At 40.9% G+C, this 24,624-nt stretch overlaps 2 long non-coding RNA genes across 10 annotated transcripts in view; both read left to right on the top strand.

Annotated features, from left to right (window-relative positions):
• Positions 1-23,045, top strand: part of LOC125312414 (uncharacterized) — a 95,450-nt gene extending 72,405 nt beyond the window's left edge. For 3 of the 7 annotated variants that reach the window (NR_176089.1, NR_176090.1, NR_176088.1), the window contains 4 exons: positions 1,032-1,106; positions 10,300-10,443; positions 15,918-15,997; positions 20,729-23,045. This is a non-coding gene — a long non-coding RNA (uncharacterized LOC125312414). Of the gene's footprint in view, positions 1-1,031; positions 1,107-9,548; positions 9,645-10,299; positions 10,444-15,917; positions 15,998-20,728 lie in introns of all 7 variants that reach the window. The other 4 variants (NR_176084.1, NR_176087.1, NR_176085.1 and 1 more) reach the window with 3 other exon arrangements.
• On the top strand, positions 580-23,045 carry LOC100505918 (uncharacterized). 3 transcript variants are annotated; one of them, NR_176059.1, is made up of 5 exons: positions 580-646; positions 1,032-1,106; positions 10,300-10,443; positions 15,918-15,997; positions 20,893-23,045. It is a non-coding gene; the product is annotated as an uncharacterized LOC100505918 (long non-coding RNA). The 3 variants fall into 3 exon arrangements; NR_176058.1 differs by lacking the exon at positions 15,918-15,997 and adding an exon at positions 9,549-9,644; NR_037851.2 differs by lacking the exon at positions 15,918-15,997.
• Positions 23,046-24,624: the final 1,579 nt, after the last annotated feature.

The following is a 24,624-nucleotide window of genomic DNA, read 5'->3' as shown; positions in this document are numbered from 1 at the left end:
TCATATTAATTTACCTGCTGAATACCTTTCAGATCCTTCAGCTCTTCATATGTTTCCCTTCACAGGCCTTTCACGTGACGTTCCATGGCCTAGAAAGCTCCTCCTTCCCTCTCCTGGCTACCTGGTCAATGATCAGGTCAATGATAACAGGCTACAGAAGCTTTTGATAATAAAGGCAAAGAATCCCGAACACCACTCCAGCACTGATAAATGACTGTGGAGATCTATATCCCTGAAATCATGCTGAAAAGACCCTATTTTCTTTAGGAAAATGTTTCCCAGCTCTTAATCAATTCACTGAAAACCAATTGCCAGAGAGGTACTTCCACAGACTCACTGTTAGGCAAGTTGACTTGCTTCCATGTTTCTCCAAGTGTGATCCTGATCCCTGGGTCATCTATACTAGAAGGTTTATTAGAAACACAAGCTATCCCAGACCCAGAGACCCAGGAACCTGAATCTTAACTACCCCCAGGTGATTCAGATGCAAGCTAAAATTTGAAATCAAGACTGCAGTTCTAGAGAGTAGAATTCCATGCTTTGCAACTGTCTTAAGCCAGCCTTCATTTGTCTCCTAGCAACCCTTGAGCAATGACAAGTACCTGCCAAACACTGTTGTGAAAACCTCTCTCCTGGGAAAACAAAAGTATTTTGCTTTCTAAATTCTATAGGAATAAAGCTGCTTTAGAAAAGGATAATTTGGCCACCAAGGTAGTTGGGAGAGATAGTTTTCTCTTTGGAGCTGAGCTGAGGGTGCTTATAAGACCCTCTGGCCACCGGGCTAGGTCCAGGACTGACCTTGGGAAGTAGGGCCAGCAGGAGGCAGAGCTTTGCAAGGTCTTGGCATCTGGGAGTTAGAGAGAGGCTTCAGCCATGGATAGCCTTGTGACCTTGAGCTGCAGTACCTCCATATGGACCAAGAGGGTTAGGAGATGGACAGGGATCAGGGGAGAACTGCTTTGCTTGAAATATGACAAAAAACCCCTATCCTATGATAAGTCTCTATGTCTCCTGTATTTATTTCACTTTAGGTCATGACATTTTGAGCACAATTGTGTGTGGGATGCATTCATCAATAGAGCTGGAAGCACCAACCACCATAGGAGGTAAAGTATTGTAATAATAATAATAATGAAGATAGATGATTGATAGATAGATAGATAGATAGATAGATAGATAGATAGATAGATACTTTTTATGTGCGGTTACTATATAACTAGAACTCTATGTTCACCTGCTATAATCTCTTCAACATCTATGGAAAGTAGACAAAAGTATTAGCACAACACAGAAGAAAAAACAAAACTAAAGTATGAAATGTATAGTAATTTTCCCAAGGTCATGCAGCTAGAAGAGTGGAGCTGGGATCTGGACCCAGATCTGTGCCTTTCCACTGAGCCATGATAAGTGGTAAGTTAAACCTATGTGGGGTACTGATGAGTCCATTCCATCCTCATGCAAAGCCACCTCCTCCACTGGGATCCCCGAATTTTAGTTTCCCTTCCTACTTCCACTTTACTTTCTGCTTCTGTACATTTAATTATTTTAGATTCCCCATGTAAATGAGTTTTTCTTCCTGTTTGCATCACCCCAAACCCACTATCACTAATCATCTTCCTGTCATTCAAGCACCTATGCTTGCACGCTGAGATGTACCAAAAGGAAGACCACAACTTCAAGTCTTCAAACAGTCCCTGAAAACATATGAGTCATTTGCTGTTGTGCACAATTTATCTTTTTAAGTTTGTGTATTGAGTTAGCTTAAAGTATGTTCCTAGCCTGACTTACGGAGGAATTTCAGATCTGCTGACTAGTAAACAACAGAACAAGGTTGGCCCCCTTAGTGGGCAGCAATGAGATAAAATAGAGTTCCCTGATGAGATGCTCATATCAGGATCTTGCTTGAATAAATCAGCTTTGAAAGACATTTGGAAACCACCGGAAATTTTCAATATAGACTAAGTATCAGCTGATGTTGAGAAATTATTATCAGTTTTGTTAGACTAAAGTGATACTGTAGTTATAGGGGAATATGTTCATTTTTCAAGGCACATGTTAAATATTTCAAGTTAAAATAAAGTTATGTCTGTAATTTACTTCAAATTCTTCAGAAAATAACTAAAAAGAGATTAAGTAAATATGGTAAAATGTTAACAATTGTTAAATCTAGGTGTGTTCATCTTAAGTTGTGTTCATCTTACTATTCTCTTTCTACTTTTCAAACAAATTCAACATGTTCATAATAAGTGAGTTTTTTAGAGAGTTTTGCTACCAAGGCAAGGAAAAGTAATCTAATATTTGTGTGCTTGGTGCTTTACAAACCTTATATTATCTTATTTTGTTGTAACACTAACAAGTAAAAATATTAATCCCATTTTATAAATGAGGATTATAAATCTCAAAGAGACTCATAACATAAAAGATGGAAGTTTAGGCTTTAATCAAATGAATCTCAACCTTTGGCTATCAGGTCATCTCTAGATCTAGGGGGAAATCACTTCTACATAAAGCCTGCCCTTTGCCAGGCTCCACTTATTTAATTCAATTTTGGTGAGACGGGAAGGCATTTTGTCCTTTTTTCCTCCTGAATTGTTATGTCTCTGAGTATGTTTCCCAGAATGTAATAGGAAGATTCCGATTATTTTCTCATTTCAAAGCTAAAGAGGCCTTTACATAATCAAGAAGCTCTGAGACAAATTGTTTTGTATAAACTTTGAAGGACTTTTCTGTTGAATCAGACACCTTTTCAGCCACTAGAAAGGAAAGTGGTACAAAGATATCTAGTCATCACTCCAGACACTGAAATCATGAAGATCAAATATATTCAGGCTTCCATCCTCGGCTATCATTTCTTGTGGTAACTTACAGTGTGCATGCTCTTCAGACAGTGAATGATGTAATGAGCACCATTAAAGTTGGAGTTTTCATTCTACATGATCGACAACAACAGTTCTACAGGCTAGAGACCAACAGGAAAGCCAGCCTCCCAGGCCCACCCCACCCCCCAACCAACCCAAATATTGGTCAGTTCTAATAGTATCAACACTCATGAGATGTTAGGCCAGTTCCTCTGAAAATAAGGCAGGCAGATAAAAATCTAGGAACACTGAAAATGGGAGCCAGCACGTGTTGACTCACATTAAAAAGTATACCATCATTAGCAACACAGGTGGGTAACACTAGGGCTAGAAAATTTGTCTACAAGACATCTTTCTCTGGTGTTGGGCTTTATTTTTAATTAAGTACATCTTTCGTCTGAGTTATCATCAAGGCTGACATTGTAAAAGGGTGAGTAAGCAATTATCTGGGTGGGGTGATATCCAGGGTACTGAAAAGGATTTCAGGAAATACTTTCTTCATCCCCTAACTGATCTCTGAAATTCCTTTAAGGCATGACTCCTTTGGCTTAAGGCTCGGGTCTCTGGAAAAATAAAACATTAAGCAGAAAAAAACTCCTGAAGTGGTTGTCGGACATTCATATTATAGCATGAATAAGTTGCAGATAGTGAGAACAGGTTTTAATGGAAGGGTTACAGCAAGAAGATATTGATACCTAACTGTAATGAGTGAGGGGGAAACGTAGGGGAAGGTAGAAGAACAATTAAGAATCCATCCACTTAACCTTTTCTCGAGTCTGCTCTAAGTCGCACAGTACCCTTCATTCTTGCACCAAGAATAAACATCTTTCCATGTTTAATAAGGACTTGAGGCTTATGCTTTTACCTAAAGACACACAGTAAAAATAATATAGATTTTTAAAGTCTGTTTTCTCCACTAGCCCAGACCCCTTTGGTATAGTAAGTATGATTTTATGATACTGAACTTTGTCTTGGGCTGAATTGTATCCCCCAAAAATTCCTATGTTGAAGTCCTAACCCCCAGTATATGGAGGTAAGGTCTTTAAAGAGGTAACTAAGGTAGGCACTTTGGGAGGCCGAGGCAGGCAAATCACAAGGTCAGGGGTTCGAGACCAACCTGACCAACATGGCAAAACCCCGTCTCTACTAAAAATACAAAAATTAGCCGGGCATGGTGTCACACACCTGTAATCTCAGCTACTCAGGAGGCTGAGGCAAGAGAATCACTTGAACCCAGGAGGAGGAGGTTGCAGTGAGCTGAAATGGTGCCACTGCACAGCAGCCTGGGTGATAGAGTGAGACTCTGTCTCAGAAAGAAAAAAAAAAAGAGGTAACTAAGGTAAATGAAGTTATCAAGGGGGGCCCTCATGACTGATATCCTTACAAGAGCAGATTAAGACACAGATACACATAAAGGGAAGGCCATGTGAAGACATACCCATAGGTGGTGAAGATGGCCACCTATAAGCCAAGGAGAGAGGCCTCCGAGGAAACAACACCTGCCAATACCTTGATTCAGCTCTCAGCCGTCAGAATTATGAGAGAATACATTTCTGTTGTTTAAGCCACCTTGTCTGTGGTACTTTATTATGTCAACCCTAACAAATTAATGAAAATTCCAAAATGCACAATGCTTTTCAACTTGAAATGATGTTATTTTTAACTAAGAATAATAGTATGTGTTTATTCATATGGAGCACTTAGTCCTGCCCCATTGTGTTGTGGTTCAAGAAGCTCTTCAGAGGCATTAGTCATCAGAATTTCTCAAAAACTAATCAAATGAAATGCAAAGAAACCAAACAGACTAAAATCATCAAAATAATTTATTGCAGCCATTTGCCGATAGATTTTAGCCAGTATGAACTGTTTCTCAGAAAGAAAAAAAAAAAATCCAGGTATCATTCAAGAGTTTCCAGGCCAACTGGTCACCCAAGTTTCTTTTGATGCTGTTTTACTTCTGAAAACATCCAGGCCACTCTTTCTTATCCACATTTTGCATTTTATGTCCTTTACCTAACTTTCAGAGGCCAGCAAGAATTCCTGTGGATGATGGTTTCTCATGCATTGCTTGTGGGAAGGTATAAGAAAATGGTGCAGCTCCTTCGGAAAACAGACTAGTAGCTCCCCAAAGGTTTAAACATAAAGTCACCAAATGACCTAGATATTCCACTCCTAGGTATACGGCCAAGAGAAATGGAAGTATATATCCACACAAAAATTTGCATACAATTATTCATAGCAGCATCATTCATAAAAGCCAAAAGTGTGAACGACCCAAATGTCCATCAACTGATGAATTGTTAAACAAAATGTGGTCCTATCCATGCAATGGAATATTACTCAGCAATAGAAAGGAATGAAGTTCTGATGCATGCTGCAACATGGATGAACCCTGAAAATATTATACCAAGTGAAAGAAGCCTGACATAAAATGCCACATACAGTATGATTCCATGCGTGTAAAATGTCTACAATAGATCAATCTATAGAGACAGAAAGTAGATTAATGGTTGCCAGGAATTGGGGGTGAGAGGGATTAGAGAATGACTGCTAATAGGTAGATTTCCTTTTGGAATGATGAAATGTTCCCAAATCAATTGTGGTGATGGTCGCACAACTCTTTGAATATGTTAAAATCTACTGAACTCTATACTTTAAATGGGTGAAATGTTACATGAATTATGTCTCCAAAATAAAGCATACTTACCTATGCTTTCTCATCTCCCATTTTCCTTTGGCTGTACTCTTCTTTCCAATCCCAATTCCCACCACAGGCTTCCCCTTTGACAGAAGTCATAAAAAGGGGAATTCAGGATAAGGATCACAGTAGACAGGTATTAAGGCCTTTTTCAAAACTCAAGAATTTAAAATGTCTGTTGGTTACCTACTGTATTCGTTTCCTATTGCTGTGATAATAAATCACCACAACTCTGGTGGCTTAAAACAACACAGATTTATTATTTCACAGTTATGGAGATCAGCAATCTGAAATGGATTTCACGGGGCTAAAATCAAGGTGTCAGCAGGGCTATGTTCTTTCTGAAGGCTCTATGGGGAATCTGCTCCCTTGTTTTTTCCAGCTTCCAGATGCTGCCTGCATCCTTGACTCATAGTTCCTTCCTCCATCCTCAAATCCTTTTTTAACTCTTTTAAGGACCTATGTAATTGCATTGTGCCCACCCAGATAATCTAGGATAATCTCCCCATCTCAAATCTTTAATATAATCATATATGCAAAGCCCTTTTGCCCTGTGAGACAACCTGTTCACATGTTCCAGGGATTAGAACATGCACATCTTTCAGGAGTGTTATTCTGCCTACCACCCTACTATGTGCAGCTGGTGGCTGCAGCATTAGAAGGGGCAGTGGGCCTTAGTTCAGGGTCATGGAACAGAGGGAAAGCAGGAGAACTAAGTCCTCCCCACAACAAATGCCTACAAAGACCACGGACCCATTTCAAGTGCACCCCAGGCACATGGCCTGCAACCTCCATCTGTCACCTTATGGATATCAACAAACAATCAACACAGATAGTTTCAATTTTTCAAACAGGGAGCAAAAAAATTCACAAATTTGGAGTGGCTTAATAAGAAATCTTCTGAACCTTTAGAAGAGGCAGCAGTAATCCCCAGGAGCCAGCATGGCCTCATGAAGATCAGAACCTGACAATGTCTCCTCCCTTTTTGCTCTGAGAAGCTGGATGTGATGATTAGGGAAATGTGGAGGTGCAGCATGTCTGACCTACTCCAAAGTTTCAAATGGACCACTAACAATATTCCAGGAGGCAGAATGGAGAAACATGGGCTGCAATGTTCAACCATTCTCTATATAAACAATTGGCTAAATCATCTTTGCTTAAAGACTGTTGATAAGTAGATTGGCTTCATCTTGTAAGTCCCTAATGTTGAGCCACAGGGCTGAGGTTTGACATTTTTGTCAGTAGTTTCGATGAATATGTATCATGCTTAAGCATGACGGCCAGAAAGGAGGTCATGAGCAGAATGTCTGGGTGTACACGTGCAATACAATTAGATTAGATCAAGGGGTGCATGTGGAGGAAAAATGAGCCTTGATCCTCACATGGCAAACAGTGGAAGACAGAAGTAAGCTCCTTCAAGCCTCTTCTTATAAGGGCGGTAATCCCATCTATAAGAGCTCCACCCTCTTGGCCTAATGACCTCCAAGAGGCCTCACCTCCAAATACCATCGCATTGGAGGTTAGGATATCGACATATTAATTTGTAGGAGACAAAACATTCAGTTCATAGACTATGATACCATGAAAAAACCAGAGGCTGAAATGGGAAACATCCAAAATGACACAGCAGATTAGAGATGAGAGTAGAGATGCACCTGTGTGCCTGAAGATGCAAGAAAGCATCAGCGGAAAATGCCACGGTGATGAAGGAAGAGCAGAGGCATGATGGAAGGGCGCACTCTCAGGGGAGCTAAGAAAGGACAGGATCAAAAGTGCAGGGACAAGCCTTAATGCCAGGTGAAAGGAACAGTTTAGCAAATTAGCATACAATCCCACAATAAAATTCAATACAGTCATTAAAACAAGGTTCTCAAAAAAAAGTTAATAGCATGGAAAATGCTCTTTGTATATTAATTTTTTAAGTGCCATTCAAATTAGTGTACAATAGAATCCCAATTTTATTATTTTAAAAAGTGTGCTTAGAAAAAAATCAGAAAGACCTCAAAATGTTTACAGCAACTGTCTCTACGTGGTGGGATTATGAGTGATATTATTTTCTTCTTTTACATCTCCACAATTTCCAAATTTTCTGCAATAAATATGTATTACTTTTGAAATCAGAAAGATAATTCCAGAGTGCAGGTGGAAGAGTTGGTACTTAGAAAGGAAGAACACTATCTTTTTATCTCAGACAAAAGAGAAGAAAGAACAAACGTGCATAGAAACAAATATTTGGAAGAAGAAAGGTAAGTAGTGTCAGTGAGGAAGCTCATGACAGATGAATGTCTCAGTCAAATCAAGAAGTCAATATTCCTTAGAAAGCATTTCTGCAAAGAGGCAATTTTCCCCTTGAGTAAAGAAGACACTTGATTTTTGTTCATTTTAGAATTTTAGCACCTTTTAAATGAAAAATGTCAGGAAGAAACATGGTGAAATTAATCTACAGTCCAACTGTTCTCCAAACTTAACAAAAATCATTAGGAGCCATACAAGTCTCTGCAGGCGCCTGCTAACTTTAGTAAAGCAAAGTAGGGCAGCCCTCTCCATTTACTGGCAATTATTCCTGGCTACCATCACATCAGCTGCCAGTCATCTGCCATTCCTTGACATTGCATTTGCCCTGCAAATTAAGTAATCAGCAATAACTAAGAGTCCATGGCCAACCAATGGCCAAAATTAGCCTCGGATCTCTCATCTGAAAAAGGAAGACATGCTTTCAACATCTGAGGGGAAGGTAGCAATATTCAAATGATTTGAGCATAGGAAATAGGACAGCGCTTCGCAGCTATGCCCAATGAATTCAACAGTCTATCTCTGACACCAGCAGGATGTTTCCTGCTAAAGCTTAATGGTTTTCTCTGTTCTCAATATGCTAACTTCCCATTAAAATGGTCTGTTAAGAGACCTGTCGATCCAGTGCCCTCGTTTTATAGATAAAATAACTGGGCCGGGTGCGGTGGCTCATGCCTGTAATCCCAGCACTTTGGGAGGCCGAGGCAGGCGGACCATGAGGTCAGGAGTTCAAGACCAGCCTGACCAACATGGTGAAACCCCGTCTCTACTAAAAATTCAAAAATTAGCCAGGTGTGGTGACACACGCCTGTAATCCCAGCTATTCAGGAGGCTGAGGCAGGAGAATCACTTGAACCTGGGAGGCAGAGGTTGCAGTGAGCCAAGATCGTGCCACTGCACTCCAGCCTGGGTGACAGAGCGAGACTGTGTCTCAAAAAAAAAAAAAGAAAACTGAAGCCCAGAGAGATTAATTGACTTCCCCCAAAGTCTCATAGCTGGTGGGTGGTACAGTTGAGAAGAGAAACCAGGCTTGCAGATACCAGGCACCTCTTCACTCTCCCTCACCAACCCGCCATCCACACTTGGTGGAAATGAGTACCAGAATGATGGGCTGGGTGGCACCACACATTGTCCAGTAGAACTGATGAAGATGCCTGCTGGGACTTGAGGAACATATGTTCCCAAGAGAAGCAGAACAAAAGAAGAGGTGATAGCCATAGGAATCTTAGTCCGCATATTCGTAGTAAAACCTCTTGTATACATTTACCTAAATACTTTATTTTTTTTTTTGAGATAGATTTTTTCTTTACTTTTTTTTTTTTTTTTTTTTTTTTTTTTTTGTCGCCCAGTTCGTCTGGAACTCCTGACCTCGTGATCCTCCCCCTCTGGCCTCCCAGAATGCTGGGATTACAGGCGTGAATTACGGCGCCCGGCCCCGTTTTCTTATCTGTAAATGAGGGCATTGGATCCACAGGTCTCTTAAGAGACAATTTTAATTGGAAGTTAGGATGTTAAGAACAGAGAAAACCATTAAGCTGTAGCAGGAAACATCCTGCTGGTGTCAGAGATAGACTTGAATTCACTGGGTTAGCTGCGAAGCGCTGCCCTGTTTCCTATGATCACATTGTTTGAATATTGCTACCTTCTCCTCAGGCGCCTGCCACCACACCCAGCTAATTTTTGTTTTGTTTTGTTTTTAGTAGAGACAGGGTTTCACCACATTGGCTAGGCTGGTCTTGAACTCCTGACCTCAAGTGATCCACCCCCATCAGCATCCCAAAGTGCTGGGATTACAGGTGTGAGCCACCATGTCCGGCCTGCCTAAATACTTTCTAAAACCCACTTTTACTTTGAGCCTATACCATCTCAAGATTTATCAAATGCCATATATTTACCACCAGTTTTACAAAATAACACAGCACCATAGCTCCTTTCTGGTAGTGACCTGATATCCTCATCTACCTAGAATATAAGCAAAAAAGCAAAAAGGTCCCAGAACAACCAATAGTGATGGACTGCAGCCAGCCCATGCTCAGATACTCAGATACTAGGGTCACTGCTGAGACTGCATTTGGAACAACAGTGAGGGAAGAGACTGAAGGCCTACAAATGTAGACACGAGGGCTCAGAAGGCAGAGTTGCGTGTCAGGTAAGCAGAGTATTAAATGAAGGACATTGTAATGAAATTAGGTAAAGATCTGTCATTTGTGGAGTCTCAGTTTCCTTTACAGCAAAATAGGGAATAAATACTTCTTTCCTTGCAAATTGTTTTAAAAATGAAAAAGAGATGAAACATGTAAAGCACTTAGCACAATAGTTAACATATACTAATTATTCAATGAAGGATAACTACTATTATAATTAGTGGGAGCAATATTTAATTGTGGCATTAAGAAGACAGAGAAACTGTTAATAATTTTGTTTAATTTCCTATAACTTTATTCCTTCCAGAGGAAACTTTTAGTTACAAGCACATGAATAAATAAAATCAAACTCAACTGGAATGACGTTCCTGAGGATGGAGATACATTTTTTTGTTGACCCATCTAAACTTGAACAGCAAGTGATAATCAGTCTCCAATCAGAAAGTCCCAGGTTAGTAAATATGAATATATTTTCCTGTCTTTTGCTTTTCTTCTTCTACAAACAGAAGGCAGGGGGCATTTGATTTGCACCTTGCCCCAGACCATATAGATCACAGGGAGGTACAGGTACCAGTACTCCACTGACAAGATACCTTTCTAAATGGCATCAAAGAGGCCCAAGGAGAAAAGTGATTGACTTGCTCTTTGGGAGTTTTTTAATATAATCGGGTTCACAGTATAAAAGACAGTGATGTTCCTGAGGCCCTTTCTAGGCCAAATGTATTATTATGTGAAACAGCAACTTCACAAAGCCAGCTTCGGGAAGTCTAAGATGCTTCCTCAGCAAGACAGTGCCTGCAGACTCACTACAGCAAAATTCTGCATTGTACCTTTCAGCACAGACATGGAAAGGTCTTTGGAGAACTGCCTATTTTTCACAGACAGAGACAGTAATGCTACTGCCAATTAAAAGACTACTTAGGTCTGTGGTAGATGATAAAATGCAGGTTAGAATTAAGATATTTCCTGCAAAATGCAGACCAAAATATCCTGAAATATTTTGTTATGGATTAACAATCGAATTACTAATCTCCCCAACCTTCACTTCTAGCCTTTAGCATAATGGTCACAGGACCAAAGTGACAAAGTCTTCAAAACAGCATCTGCCATGTGCTGAGAAGCACATGACATGAATTATCTCACTTAATTTTCACAATAACCTTGCCAGGTAAGAACTATTACAGCCATTTTAAAATTAGGAAATGGAGGCTCAAAAAGTAACTTGTCCAAGGACCGCAACTAGCAAGTGGCAAAACTAGGATTTGAACCCAGGCATGTCAAGCTCACAGTTTCTCACAGTGCTAACCACATCTAGCCACTGCATCACTGTTTCTTTCTTTTTTTTTTTTTTTTTTTTTAAACGGAGTCTCGCTCTGTCACCCAGGCTGGAGTGCAGTGGCGTGATCTCAGCTCACTGCAAGCTCCGCCTCCCGGGTTCACGCCCTTCTCCTGCCTCAGCCTCCCGAGTGGCTGGGACTACAGGTGCCCACCACCACGCCAGGCTAATTTTTTGTATTTCTAGTAGAGACGGGGTTTCACTGTGTTAGCCAGGATGGTCTCGATCTCCTGACCTCGTGATCCGCCCGCCTCGGCCTCCCAAAGTGCTGGGATTACAGGCGTGAGCCACGGCGCCCGGCCGCATCACTGTTTCTTTAGCCAATCCCACCAGCATTCACGGCACACTCGCTGTGTACTAGGCATTGTGTAAGGGGCTCTGGAACATAGGAGAGATATGGATCCCGCCCTCCAGAAATTCACAGTTTAAAGGCAGACATGTAAGTAAACAATGACAATTCAGGACTGTAGAAATGCAATAATTGAAGTAGAAAAATGGCAGAAAGAAGTGTTTGGTAAAACTTGAGGACATTTGATTTCCAGCCCACTGCCTCTCCCGTACACACCTGCCATTTTAAAATAGAGGACTACACGGGAGACCGAGGCTGGAGGAACCCTTGAGCCCAGGAGTTCAAGGCTGCAGTCAGCTATGATCATGCCACTGACTCCAGCCAGGAGACAGAGTGAGACACTGGCTCTGAAATAAATAATTAATTAATTTTAAAATAAAATAACATATAGACATTATAGAATATCAATCCTTTGAAAAAAGTTGCCTGCTCTCTCATTCTGCAGCTGAGGATATTAAAGCCTCAGAGAAGGAAACAAACTGCCTGGATCATGAAGTAACTGATGGACAAAAAAAAATGACTAGAACTTGAGTTTCTTGACTGAGGGTTGCAGGGTCTTGCTGGTACACCAAACGCTACCCTGGGCTGTCACTCACTAGAGATCTGGAAAGACTTTTGCAGGCAGCAGCCCACATATATGGTTTATTCTTTTTCTGTCCTACCTCAATCCTCAAGGGAAAAATACATCAGCTAGCCTTCGGAGGTCATATAAAGGAGTATAACCTGTGAGTGAAGATGAAATATTTGGAATTGCTAGTTAGTGTCTTAGGAGGAGGCTGCGAAGAATGAAGCGCGGTAAAGATGGAGTCTAATGGTGAAGGGCGCTGTTCACAGCCCAAATAAAAGGCTCAACTCCCTCCACCTGGAGCCCTTTTCCCTCCTGCTGCTTTTGCTTCCTTCCTTTGAGGTCACGTCTACTAGAGAGATACTTTTTTTTTCCATGTGAATATAATTGGTTTCACTTCACAGTTAGCACCTACTGAGGTGAAGATTCACACCTATCTGCGGTCTAGTAAGACAGTTCTAGAACTTTATATAGCAGCCATGGGTACGCACCTTGCAAACCTCCAAACCCCCACAAGCACCTCCCACCACCACTCCAACCCTGGAGCATAATGGACAGTAGTGCCAGCTCCTGCTCTGTGAAATGCATTGCTCTCTGAAACCCATTGTGGTGTTTGTATGGAGGCCCTGCTTCCCCAGAAGCTCTGGTCATAGATGAGAGCAGCAAGGATGCTACAGCTGACCCGCTCCTGTGAGACATGGCACTCTGAGGCTCCAGGACTGTCAAAGGCCTTCTTGAACATTCCCTAGGCTACACAGAAGTCTAAAATGCTTCCACCTACCTTCCCCTTCCTCCCTCCTTCCGTTGGGGTCAGATTTGCATTTCAGTCTTATAGCTCTCCCAGTGTTCCCAGCCTCTTCCCCATTTCCTCTCATGGTCCTTTAATAAAATCTCACACACCTAATCCCATCTTGGCACTGGCTTGTTAGAGGGCCCAGACTAACAGCTGAGCACAGGAAGTGCCCTGGACAGCACCAGGTCACCAGGATCCCGCCATTGAAGTACCTGGCACCTCAGCCTCACATTGCATGGCCTGGGTCGGGAGGTGCCTTCACGGCTTCCTCACCTACCCATCAGGGAATTCCTTCAGTCTGCTTTGCAATGCTCCCAGCAACCTGACAGTGGGATTTCCTACCAACAAGACCCAATGATTGGCCCCAGTATGTGACAGATAAGAAAGTGCAAAACATGGAGTCTACAGTTCCTGGCATTAAGGAGTCTAAGAATGAAACTCAACACCACTCTGGCTAAGAGCTTAAAAAAGAAAAATACAATAGGGCCCTAGAAAGCTGGGGTAAAAGCCAGCCAGAGAGAAGCAGCAGCTAAAGCCATACTGTATGGGCTAACAAGTCAACAGCAGCAGTGCAGAGGAAACCCATCCACTTGATTTCCGAGGGGTCTGGAATTTCTGGGGAAAGCAGCAAAGCACAACTCTGAAGACAAGAAAGTGCCCATCCACCCAAGCCTCCTGTTTTGGGACTCCATCACTTTCCAAAATAATTCTAAATTCAGAACCAACCCACATCTGCAGTGAAGAGTATACATTCATTAGAAATTTAGGAATAAGTTTCTGCTGAGGAGGTTAAATTTTTCCATGGCTTCTCTCAGGGTGGACTGATGAAAATTGATTTCTTATTGATAAAGTGTTATGTTTTGTGAGTTTTTTTTTTAATTTGGGCCTCCTTCCCTTTTATGCTGCTGTTTGCTGCCTTTTTGCCCATGTGTACAGAATAGAAACTAGGCTTATTTGTGCTGCTTTTGCCCCAGCCCTTCCTATTTTGAGGACCCTGACTTCTGACTCAACTGCTCTAATCCTCTATTACCCATCATGCCCTCAGGAGCTACCAAGCAACTCGTGCAGTTGAATGCCCCAGAACCATTCTTCACAGGGTATCCGTGGAAATCATCACCCTTTCACCTTCAGATTCTGGCTCAAAGAAATTGTGGGCGATGAGTCACCTAACTCTGTGACTCATATCTGGTCTCAATAAAGGTGTTTTATGAGTTGAAAAAAAGAGGCATCCATATAGATAAGACAAGAAGGCAAACTAATTAATGAAAATAATCCTGCAAAGGTGGTGAGATTAGAGATCTCTGTGTTTGGTTTGAAATTTTATTTAATGCATAAATGACTATAGAATAAAAAATGGATAAATTCCTGTAAAATAAAAATTCATCATTACAACTTTATTCTTCCTCTGAGCCAAGACCAGAGCTAGAATTTTTTTGAGACAAAGTTCAAAATTTTATTTCTGCCTCTAGATTTCTTTTCCAAGGTCAAGTTCCCTCCACTTTGCCACTCCCTTTCTCACGCAATCCCTTTCTTTCCTCATATTTGAGGTCATCCCTCGGGAATGGGAGAGAGCTGGGATGTGGTATTAGGAGTATCCTTGCTATTCGCTCTTCCTGGAATGCTTTTCCTCCCACCACCTTGACATTTTTGCCCAAATGTCAACTTCTCAGTCAGGTGTTCCTTGACCACCCCACTAAAATTTGCAAACCACCCTTCAACCCCTAGTACACTGTATTACCTTCTAAGCTTGATGTTTCTTCATAGCTTTCCCTATGAGAGCCAAGATTGTTGTTTTATCTACTGCTCTTTCCCCAGTACCTAGAACAGTTCCCCAAATATTCTCAGGTTTGTTCAATGTGTTGTTCAACTCTTTTAAATTCTTACTGATTTTTGTCTGATTGCTCTATTCATTACTGACAGAAGTGTAGTAAAATCATCCACTATGGTTGTCAGTTTCTCTACTTATTCCTGAAGTTTTGATAATTTTTACTTTATGTATTTTGGGATTATGTTACTTGGAGTACAGAAATTTAGAAGTGACTTATAACCTGAGGAATTGTCCTTTGTCATTATCTAGAGATTGTTTATTTCTAATAATGCTTTTTTTCTCTTAAAGTCTATTTTATCTGATTTTAAAATAGGTACTTTGACTTTTGGTTTTGGTTTCAGTTTGTATGGTATATCTTTTTCTAACATTTTACTTGCAGTCTTTAAGCTGTTCTCTTGTAAAGAGTATATGCTTTCTTTCTAATACAGTCAGATAACTTTGGTTAGGGTATTTAACTCCACTTACATGTAACATAATTTGACATGTTAGCACTTAAGTCGGTTATTTACTACATGCCTATTCTACATTTTTTCTCTTCTTTCTTGCTGTATTTGATTATATTTTAATCATTTACTTCTTCCCCTCCACTAGTTCATAAATTACACACTTTTTTGAATTGTTTCAATAATTGCCCTTGAAATTATAATGTGTATTTATGACTTAACAAATTCTGATGATAATTGATACCCTCACTCCTCCTAGACAATGTAAAGACCTTAGAACATTTTAACTCCATTCTCTGACCCCTCCTCCACCCATTGTAGGCAACTGTTGTCCTATATTTAATTCTGTAGATTTTTTTTAAATTCCAAAGGACATGATGATGATGCTGATGATTACTTTATACAGCATTATTTAGTTCCATTTATCTGCATATTAACATTCTCATTCATCTTAAATTCTCTCATTTGGCATCATTTTCCTTCTTCTTTATCCTTTAGTATTTCCTTCTCTGTTGATCTGCTGATGACATATTCTCCCAGTTTTGCTTTGTCTGGAAATGTCTTTATTCTCCTTAGACATGGAGCTTTAACTTGGTGTTTTCTGCTTTTAGAATGCTGAGTGCTCTGTATTTGTAATCCCATTGCTCCTATTGAGAAGTTAGCTGTTGGCCAAACTATTCCTACTTTCAAGGTAATCCAAGGTATTTTTTTGGTATTAATATTTCTTCCTATGATATGTTTAAGCATGGATCCTTTTTAAATATATTGTTTGGAACACATTAGACTTCTTAGAATTATGGAGTAATGTCTTTAATCAGTTTTGAAAAATTCTGTCATTATCACTTCAAATATCACCTCTGCCCCATTAGAAAAATTTGACAGATGCACTATTTTCTTCCCCTCTTTCTAAGAGTCAGATGATTGTCCTACATTCTCACTGTACTCTCCCTGTCTCTTACCCTCTTTTCAGTCTTTTTATCCTTTTGGCTCTCCATACTGGATAGATTCTTCTAATAATATTCAATTTACTAATTCTCTTTTCAACTATATCTAATTTTCTGTTAATTCCATCTGAGTTCTTTTCTTATTGAGCTTTTTAGTTCTAGGATTTCTATTTGATACTCTTTTTAACTCTATTCTGTCACTTTTTAGAATTTCTGGGTTTTGCTAAAATTTTCAAGTATTTATTTTCTCGAAGAGAGCAAACAATTGTTTTATAGTCTCTGTCTGATAATTCCAATATCTATTATCACTTATGTACCTAAACTGTCTTTTTTTCTGTTGGTTCTTATTCATCATGTCTTATTTCCTCATGTGCTGCATTATCTTTGATGGTGTACTCCATATTTTATTTGAAACAAAAGTATTTGCTGAAATAATTTGAGACCTAACACATTATTATTTTCTTAGGGCATTTTTGTTGGCTTCTACCAAGCACTAGAGACATTAGCAGTAGAAGACCACTTTAATCTAAGTTGAAGGCCTTTGGATTTGTGGAACATCATATGACACAAAGAAACTGGACTTTTGTGCAAGGAAATAAATTTCTGTTTTATCTACACTCCTAAAGTACAGCCCCTTGGGGCCACAGCATAAAGCAGAGGTGATTCACCAGGGTCCACCAATTACTGCTTTTTCTCTCTTCTTCAGGAGCCACCAGAAAGTACGAATCAGTCTCTCTGGTCTCCTTTGAACTGAAAAGTACCCCCAGGACAAAAGCGGCCTGGTGCTACTCATTTCTCTGGGTCATAGCCTGGTATGTCTCACTATCTTGCTAGCTCTTTGATGATTTTAAGGAGAGGTTTTCTTCCCAGCTTTTTGTTGCCTTTGGCAGCGGTGGCTGGCCCAGATTGCCTCTCTATTATTACCAGAACTGGAAGTCCTTTAGATTGCCCAGATCCATGGACTTTGTTTATATGAGAGAGCAAGATAAGTATCTAACTTAAGTCATACTGCTATGTTAGGTTTTCTGTCACCTGCAGCCAAATCTAATTTCAACAACAGCATTCTTATCACACCAAACAGGGGAAATGTATTCTAGCTCCTTATTTATATTCTCTCTCTCACTTTCTTTCTTTGACTTTCTCCATACCCCAATAGCCACCAACAATCAGATGCCCCAGTGGTTTTGAAACTTACAAGAGGGCCTGCCTTAGCCATTTGTAATGTTATAGGTAGCTCTCTTGCAATATCCACAGGGGGAGGAGGCAAAGAGGAGGAAAAAGAATCATCCCTTAACACAAACACTGCATTCCTGTAAAAGATAGCCTTTTCCTCTCTCTTCAGTTCTCCTCTTTATGTACAGTCCTCTGAAGACTGGCCTCAGCAACTCACAATGGTCCTCTGAAGGTAGAATATATGCTCTTTGCACCTTCTGTGCTCAGCTTTGAACTTCAATCACAATTCTAAAAGGAAGAATTATATTCTGTAGCTAATGCTATCCTGCTACACTCCAATAAATCGGTAATATATTCTCAATATATTGATTATATCTTCATGTATATTTTTATTGTACAATATATTCATTATATCTTTATGCATATTTTTATTGTTCATATATTGACATATTGAGAATATATTACGGTTTTGAAGGGCAGTCATACATACTGTTTTTCGTGTATTCTTATTATAAAGTTGTCATTAATAGCATTAGCCATCTTCATTTTTCAATCTGTTTTTTACTCTAATGTTTTCCACGCAGACCAAAACAAAATAATTGCTTTTAGATGTTTTGAAATTACTGTGTTTTTCAAATATTTCTTCATTTCATACAATTAACTTTTCTTCCTCTAATGGCAGCAAAGCTTACAATGGTCTTAATTGGATCTCGCAGTTTCCGGCAGCCTTGCCATGCTCATGAACTTATTCTCCTCTCTTAATCTTTTAGCAGAAGGGCAACTCATAGGGAATCTTAGCACACCTAGTTTGGGGAAAAGGAAGAAGGGAAGTAAATTTTTAGAATTTGCTACAGAGAATTAAGGGAAATGGTGTTTTGTTTTGTTTCGTTTTTAAAGTTTTATTCAAATAACAAATGGTTGACCTTTATGGAGTGATTCTTTGATTTGTTAACTCAATGGGTGCATCATTTTCTCAGTCTGAGGATAGTAATTAGGGGTGGGATGGGGAAAGAATCCAATGGAGAAGGCAATAGATCCTGAGAACCAGTGGTTGGGAAGAGTCAGAGAAGAAAAGGCCAGAGTGGGAAAAACACATAAAGTTAAGGCTGGAGATGACACAACAAAATACTATCATCTACCCTATTTGTCCCAGTTCACCTGTCTCCCATTACCTCACAGCAACACCTTTACCACATCCTTAAATCCCCAACCAAAACTCCATCCTTAAAAGCCAATCCACTTTCTAGGAGATCTTGTATCCTACATGACAACAAAAACGGAGATCATCAGATGGTAATGCCTTCACGTCCTGGTCTCCCCACTACAAATCTATCTTCTCTAGGTGAACCCTTGCTCCCTCCTTTATGTCATAGAGGAAGTTTCTTTTTCCCTATCTGAGAAAGGAGATAGGGAAGCTGTGCTCTAAATCCATCTACTCTCTCCTCTTCACTTTGTCACTATCTCAGGATTGTGTATTTAAAAGTGCTCAAGGCTTTCCCCTCTTTAACAAGAAAAGCCTCTCTTACTATAAATTCTTTGTATACTTTTAATATAAGTCACCTCTATCTACCACCAGACCTCTGTGCTTTCTTTCATCATCCAACACCCACTTCTCTTCTCCTTCCATGCTCCCTCCCTGGGTTGTTTGCTTCCACTGCACATATGTTCACTTACAGCTATGGTCTGATGTGTATGTGCCCCCAAACACATGTGTTGAAAGTGAGTCACTAATGTGATGTATTTGGAGATAGAGCCTTTAGGGGGTGATTAGGTCATGAGGATGGAACCCCCCATGAATGGGATTAGTGCCCCTATAAAAGAGGCCCCAGAAAGCTGCTTTGCCTCTTCTACCACATGAGGATACAGCTAGCAGGAGCCATCTGTGAACCAGAAAGTGGGCCCTCACCAGACACCAAATCTGCTGACACTTTGATCTTGGATTTCCAGCCACCAGAACTGTGAGAAATAAATTTCCATTGTTTATAAACTACCCAGTTTGTGGTATCTTGTTAAGCCACTCAAACAGACTAAGACATTTACACATAAATGACTCTGCCCTGGGCTTCAGACTCAAACATCCCACCACTTACTGATCATCTCCATTTGCATTTCTCTGAGATACTTTAAACTCAAAATGTCCTACTGGACATCATTTTTTCACCACTCTCTAAATCTGGATCTCCTTCTATTCCCTTTTTCAGTAAATGGTCCCCAGATTTCTCCAGTCATATAAAGCAGAAACTGAGGTTCTTTCTTGATACCTATTTCTCCTTCAACCCTATATCTGATCCGTCTCCCTATCCTATTGTCTGACCATCTAGACATCCCTCAATTCTGTCTCTGTTTATCTCCTTTGCCACCACACACTAACTGCCGACTGATCTGCCTGTATGTAGCTTGCCCCATCCAATCTATTCTCTACAGTAGACAGCAAGGTCTTTATAAAAATGCAAATCTGAATCTGTCACTCCCTTGCTAAAAATGCTTCAGTGACTTCCCAGTGATCCTAGGGAGAAGCACCCAAAATCCTTAAAATAGTATAGTAACAGAAATCCTACTTTGAAACATGGACACACCCCACACACTTTTCTCTTCTGCCAACCCAAAAAAGTAAATGTATCCCCTAGATGGCCAGAGCCATCCATCTGCTCTGGGAAAGATGAAAACTGTAAAGGAAAAATGCAAAGAAGCTGGGAGGAAGAGTTCATATTCTGATTTTTTACTTTAAAATGGAATTTTGCAGCAAGCCAGTAGTCATGCAAGAAAAGATTTCCTGAATTCCTTTATCCTCTCTTTTAGCTTAATCCAGAATCAAGTCTGGCTGCCGAAATCATGGGTTCCCCACAGAACACAGAAGGTTCCCCTTGCTGTTCTGTGGTAGAAAACAAAACATCTAGTCCATACTTCTCATCCTGCACACATCCCCTTATACAGTGAGTTCCTAGCTGAGAGCCCACAGCCTACCAGTGAAACAGGAATTAAAAGAAATTAAAGAATGTGTAAGCAAAAACTCATTATATCATTGTATATAAGAAAACCCAATTCCCCTTGAGGAAGAGGAAGAGCTGAAGTCCTTTAAAAATTAACTGCCTGTTTTTCTGTGGCTAGTGAGTCTTATCTCTCCACCTTTCCCAGGCATTGTGAAGACCCTGTTTCTCTAGCTGTGCAGCTGCAAGGTCACTAGGCAGATAAACTCAAGTCATAAAACGTGTTTTTCCTTGGAAAGTAAGAAATAATGTAATGCATGTCTCAATTGAATAACTGTCTTTGTTTCTCTCTTCTGTAATATACTTCCCCCTGCACAGATCTCCCCGGCCCACAAAATACTTAAAAAGTAACCGGACTCTTTGTTCAGGGCTCAATCTTTTTGGATGTTAATCTGACTGGGCCGGTGCACCTAAATAATAAATAATATATATCCTCCTCGACCTTTGGTCTCTCTGATTCCTAAATTATCCTGCTGCACCAGGACTTATAGGAGCAGAAATCAGAAGACTTTACTCCACACACTTCAGGTGGACATGTGGACAAAGCCATCGGAGAACATGACAAAAATACAGCAAGAGCAGAGACAAGATCAGATCATCCTGGGGGCAGATGCTGGGCTCTGACCAATTTGAGAGAGAAAAGGAAAAAGAACCCAGCTACAAGATGCACAAGTAGCAGGCCACAGCCACCAACATCAGCAGAGCAATTGGAGGCCAGGAAGACAAGGACACTTCTGAAGAGACTGAAAAAAGCAGAAGACAGTCCAAGTCACTGCAAGGTTCCAAGGTCTCTTTTTTCATTACTGTTACAAGTACCAAGTAAGCCAAAATCCACCCTACTCTTCAAAACCATCTTGAAGAGTTGCAGGTCAGGGTTGCTGCATCTGAGCATGTTTACTCACAAAAGGTGACAGATGCTCCTCAACTTACAATGAGATTACATCCTGATAAATGTGTCATAAGTTGAAAGTATCTTATAAGTCGAAAATGCATTTACTACAGCCTAACCCACTGAACATTGTAGCTTAGGCTAGCCTACCTTAAAACGTGATCAGGACACTTCCCTCAGCCTACATTTGGGCAAAATCACCTAACACGAAGCCTATTTTATAATAGAGCATTGAATAGCTCAAATAATTTATTGAATACTGTACATTACATAGAATTTGTGACAGTTTTACACCATCATTATGTCAAAAAATCATTAAGTTGAGCCACCATAACTCAGGGACTGTCTGTATTTATATTTTTACTTCACACTAAGCTTTGAAACTGAAATTTTTGCTCCTCAGCAGATGGGGTTTCTGAGAAAGACCAAATTAGTTATAGAGCACTAGCTCCCAAAAAAAAAAAAAAAAAAAAACAGAAGAAGTCAGAGGAGGAGGGCAACATGGAGCAGAGGAAGAAGGAGAGAAAAAGCAAGAAACCATTATCGCTCCCTCATCTGAACTGCACTGCGAGTAAGCTGGGGCTTCCACCACAGTGTCCTGGAAGCCATGTTTGCTGCCCATTTCTGGACTCTCCAGCCACACTGGCCTCCTTTCCCTTTCTCAAACCTGCTGTGGTTCCTGCCACTTCAAGATAATCTCTTAACAATCTATTCCTTCTGCCTGGAATGCTCTTCCTCCCACCCAACCCCGCTCTGCCCAGCTAACTCCATTCTTTGGCCCCTGCATCACTTTCCCAAGGAAGCCATTTCTGGACTTCCCTGACCCCTGCCTTCCATCTTCACTGGCCCAGAGTTCCCTACCCTATGGTCTCATTGCTCCCTCCCAGGCACTGCTGCCTCCCAGGACTCTTCCCTGTCGGTAATATAGTTCTGTTTGATTGTTCAGTTAATTTTGCCTCCCCTGAAGACCATAAGCCATGTTGGCAATGATGGTTTTGCTCACCATTGCACCTCCAGTGTCTAAAAACCATGGGCAGGTCAATTCATTTTTGTTGAGTAAAGGAATTGTTCAATAAGTGCACAAATAAATTCACATTAAAACTTGTCCAAAAACAAAGGAGTTTTCTTGTGAGAAGCAGCTGCTCATTCTGGGGCATTCAAGTGCAGTGAGATGACAACGATGACCATTGGAGATGCTTTCAAAGTGATGCCGGCACTAGACAGATGGCTGGAGTGTGTACCCTTTAAGGACTCACCTATCTCAGAAGTCATGTGTGTTTCTGTATGTGTAAATGCACAAACAGACTGGAAGGATATGTGTTCAGCGTCTTTTCAGACTGTGAAGGTCCCTGCAACCAGAAGGAGAGCTGTCTTCAGGAAAGGATGAAGGGAACGAGCATCTGTCTGTGACTCTGGTGGTTGTGCAGGCAGGTCACCTCAAGGTGGAGTGACACTGTGGTGGGACAGGTGGAGCACCAGTGAGGAAGCTCTCATGGGCCTGAGCCAACTGAATTAATTAAGACCAAGAACAGTAAAGGGACCCAGAGGGCAAACTCTGAGAGGCAGTCATAAGCAGCACCCTCTCCCCAAACTGTATTACTCATTCCCACAGAAGTGTGTGTCTGCTTGCCTTTAATCTGTTCTGACTGTAAGCCATTTTGAGACATCCCAGTCCCAATGATGGCCACCATGTTCTGCATTGAATAGATGCTTGACATACATCCAATTAGTAAAAGCGAGTGAACTAAAGTTTATCACTTGGGGTTTGTTTTTTCCCCATCAGTTGCTCCTGCTGCTCAAGGGTGTGTGTGTGTGTACACATATGAATGGAATACACATGTATGGGGGGTGGGGTGGGATACAAAATTGAGGCACCAACAAGTATCCAATATGAATGTCTTTAAAGTCAGTATCAGCAGCAAAGAAGGTACTGCACATACGATGTGCAGGGGAAAACCTTTTTACCAGGCACAGACCACCACCAAAGCCCCTCTGCCTAAATCTGTATTTGAAAAGCTAATTAAAGATTTTTTTTTTCTTTGGGGTCTTGAAATACTTTGCCTTTGAAAGCTCTTTGTTAAAATGAAAATGCCTTTGGAAAGGGGAATGGTTTAAACGTCTATCACTTTGCTTTTTAGAGGGGAATATGGTGGATAATTAAGAAGAGCCTGGAAAATCAGACCCCAGACTATGAGTGAGGAAAGGTGAGCCAAGAGGATGAGAAGACCCAGCAGAGAGAGCTGCTGTCAAAAGGGGCTTTGTCACCTTTAAATATCATTTCCACAACTTTGCTTGGGGAAGCCCAAGGTTTAACTGCCTCTCCTCAAAGAAATGCTCTGCAGATCTCTAAGACAAACAGATAAGCTTAGGTTAGATTCAATTAGGAGAAAAGGTGCTACACTCACTTAAACTTTTTATGATTAAAGGCAACAAGCAGCATCTTGGAGCTCTGTAGCAATAAGACTTTTGCAGCCTGGCCATCCATCCCCTGGTTGCTAGAATGAGGAGCAGCAGCAGATCAAGCCACATATGCAGTGGTGGGATAAGGTCTCAATACCTGCTCCAGAGAGCTCAGGATCTAGTGAGCAGCATCCAGGGAAGTGGGTGTGGAGAAAGAAATGAAGGATGGAGAGTGGGAAACAACGAAAGAGAAGAGAAAGAGGAAGGCGAGTTAAGCATCTGGAAAATTACTGCAGTCTCATGGCTTTGGCTGCTTCAAAGCCTGGATGAGTCATCCACTGGTTGCCTAGGCAACGACTATTTTCCTCCTGCTGCTGATCAATTTCATCTGCACAAATGTCCCATGAAACTGTGAGCTGTGAAGATAATATACCCGAGTCACAGAAGTATTATCAGACAAGGTCTGCATTTCAAGTGTTCTGAAAAAGACCTTATGTATACCAAGCCATCCACCTTCCCATCCCACTCAGACCACACACACACACACACACACACACACACACACACACACACCCCTACCCTATGGGTAGTGATGGGCCAGGACAGGGGTCCAGGCAGGAGGAGATCGTCACCTCTGCCTTATCCTGGTTATGATCCCAGGATCTTAACTGCCCAAACTCACTGTCTCCAATTAGAGACAGAGAGGATATGTGGTCATTCCCTCATTTCATGTCTTAAAACAAAAATGGATGCTTGTATTAAAAAAAAAAAAAAAAAGAACAGCCACATTGGACAGCCAAATACAATGCCCTTTGAGCTGTGACCTGCACTCTGTGCTCCTGGGTTCTGAACAGGGGAGAGTGGCTACTGTCTCCACCCTGGGTCCTCCCAAAGACAATGCTGTCCCTTTCCCCTATCTTACTTT

Source organism: Homo sapiens, chromosome 1, assembly GCF_000001405.40.
Source record: "Homo sapiens chromosome 1, GRCh38.p14 Primary Assembly".
NCBI classification, from domain to species: Eukaryota; Metazoa; Chordata; class Mammalia; order Primates; family Hominidae; genus Homo; species Homo sapiens.
Note: the sequence above shows the minus strand (reverse complement) of the source record. Positions and strands in the feature narration are given on the sequence as shown.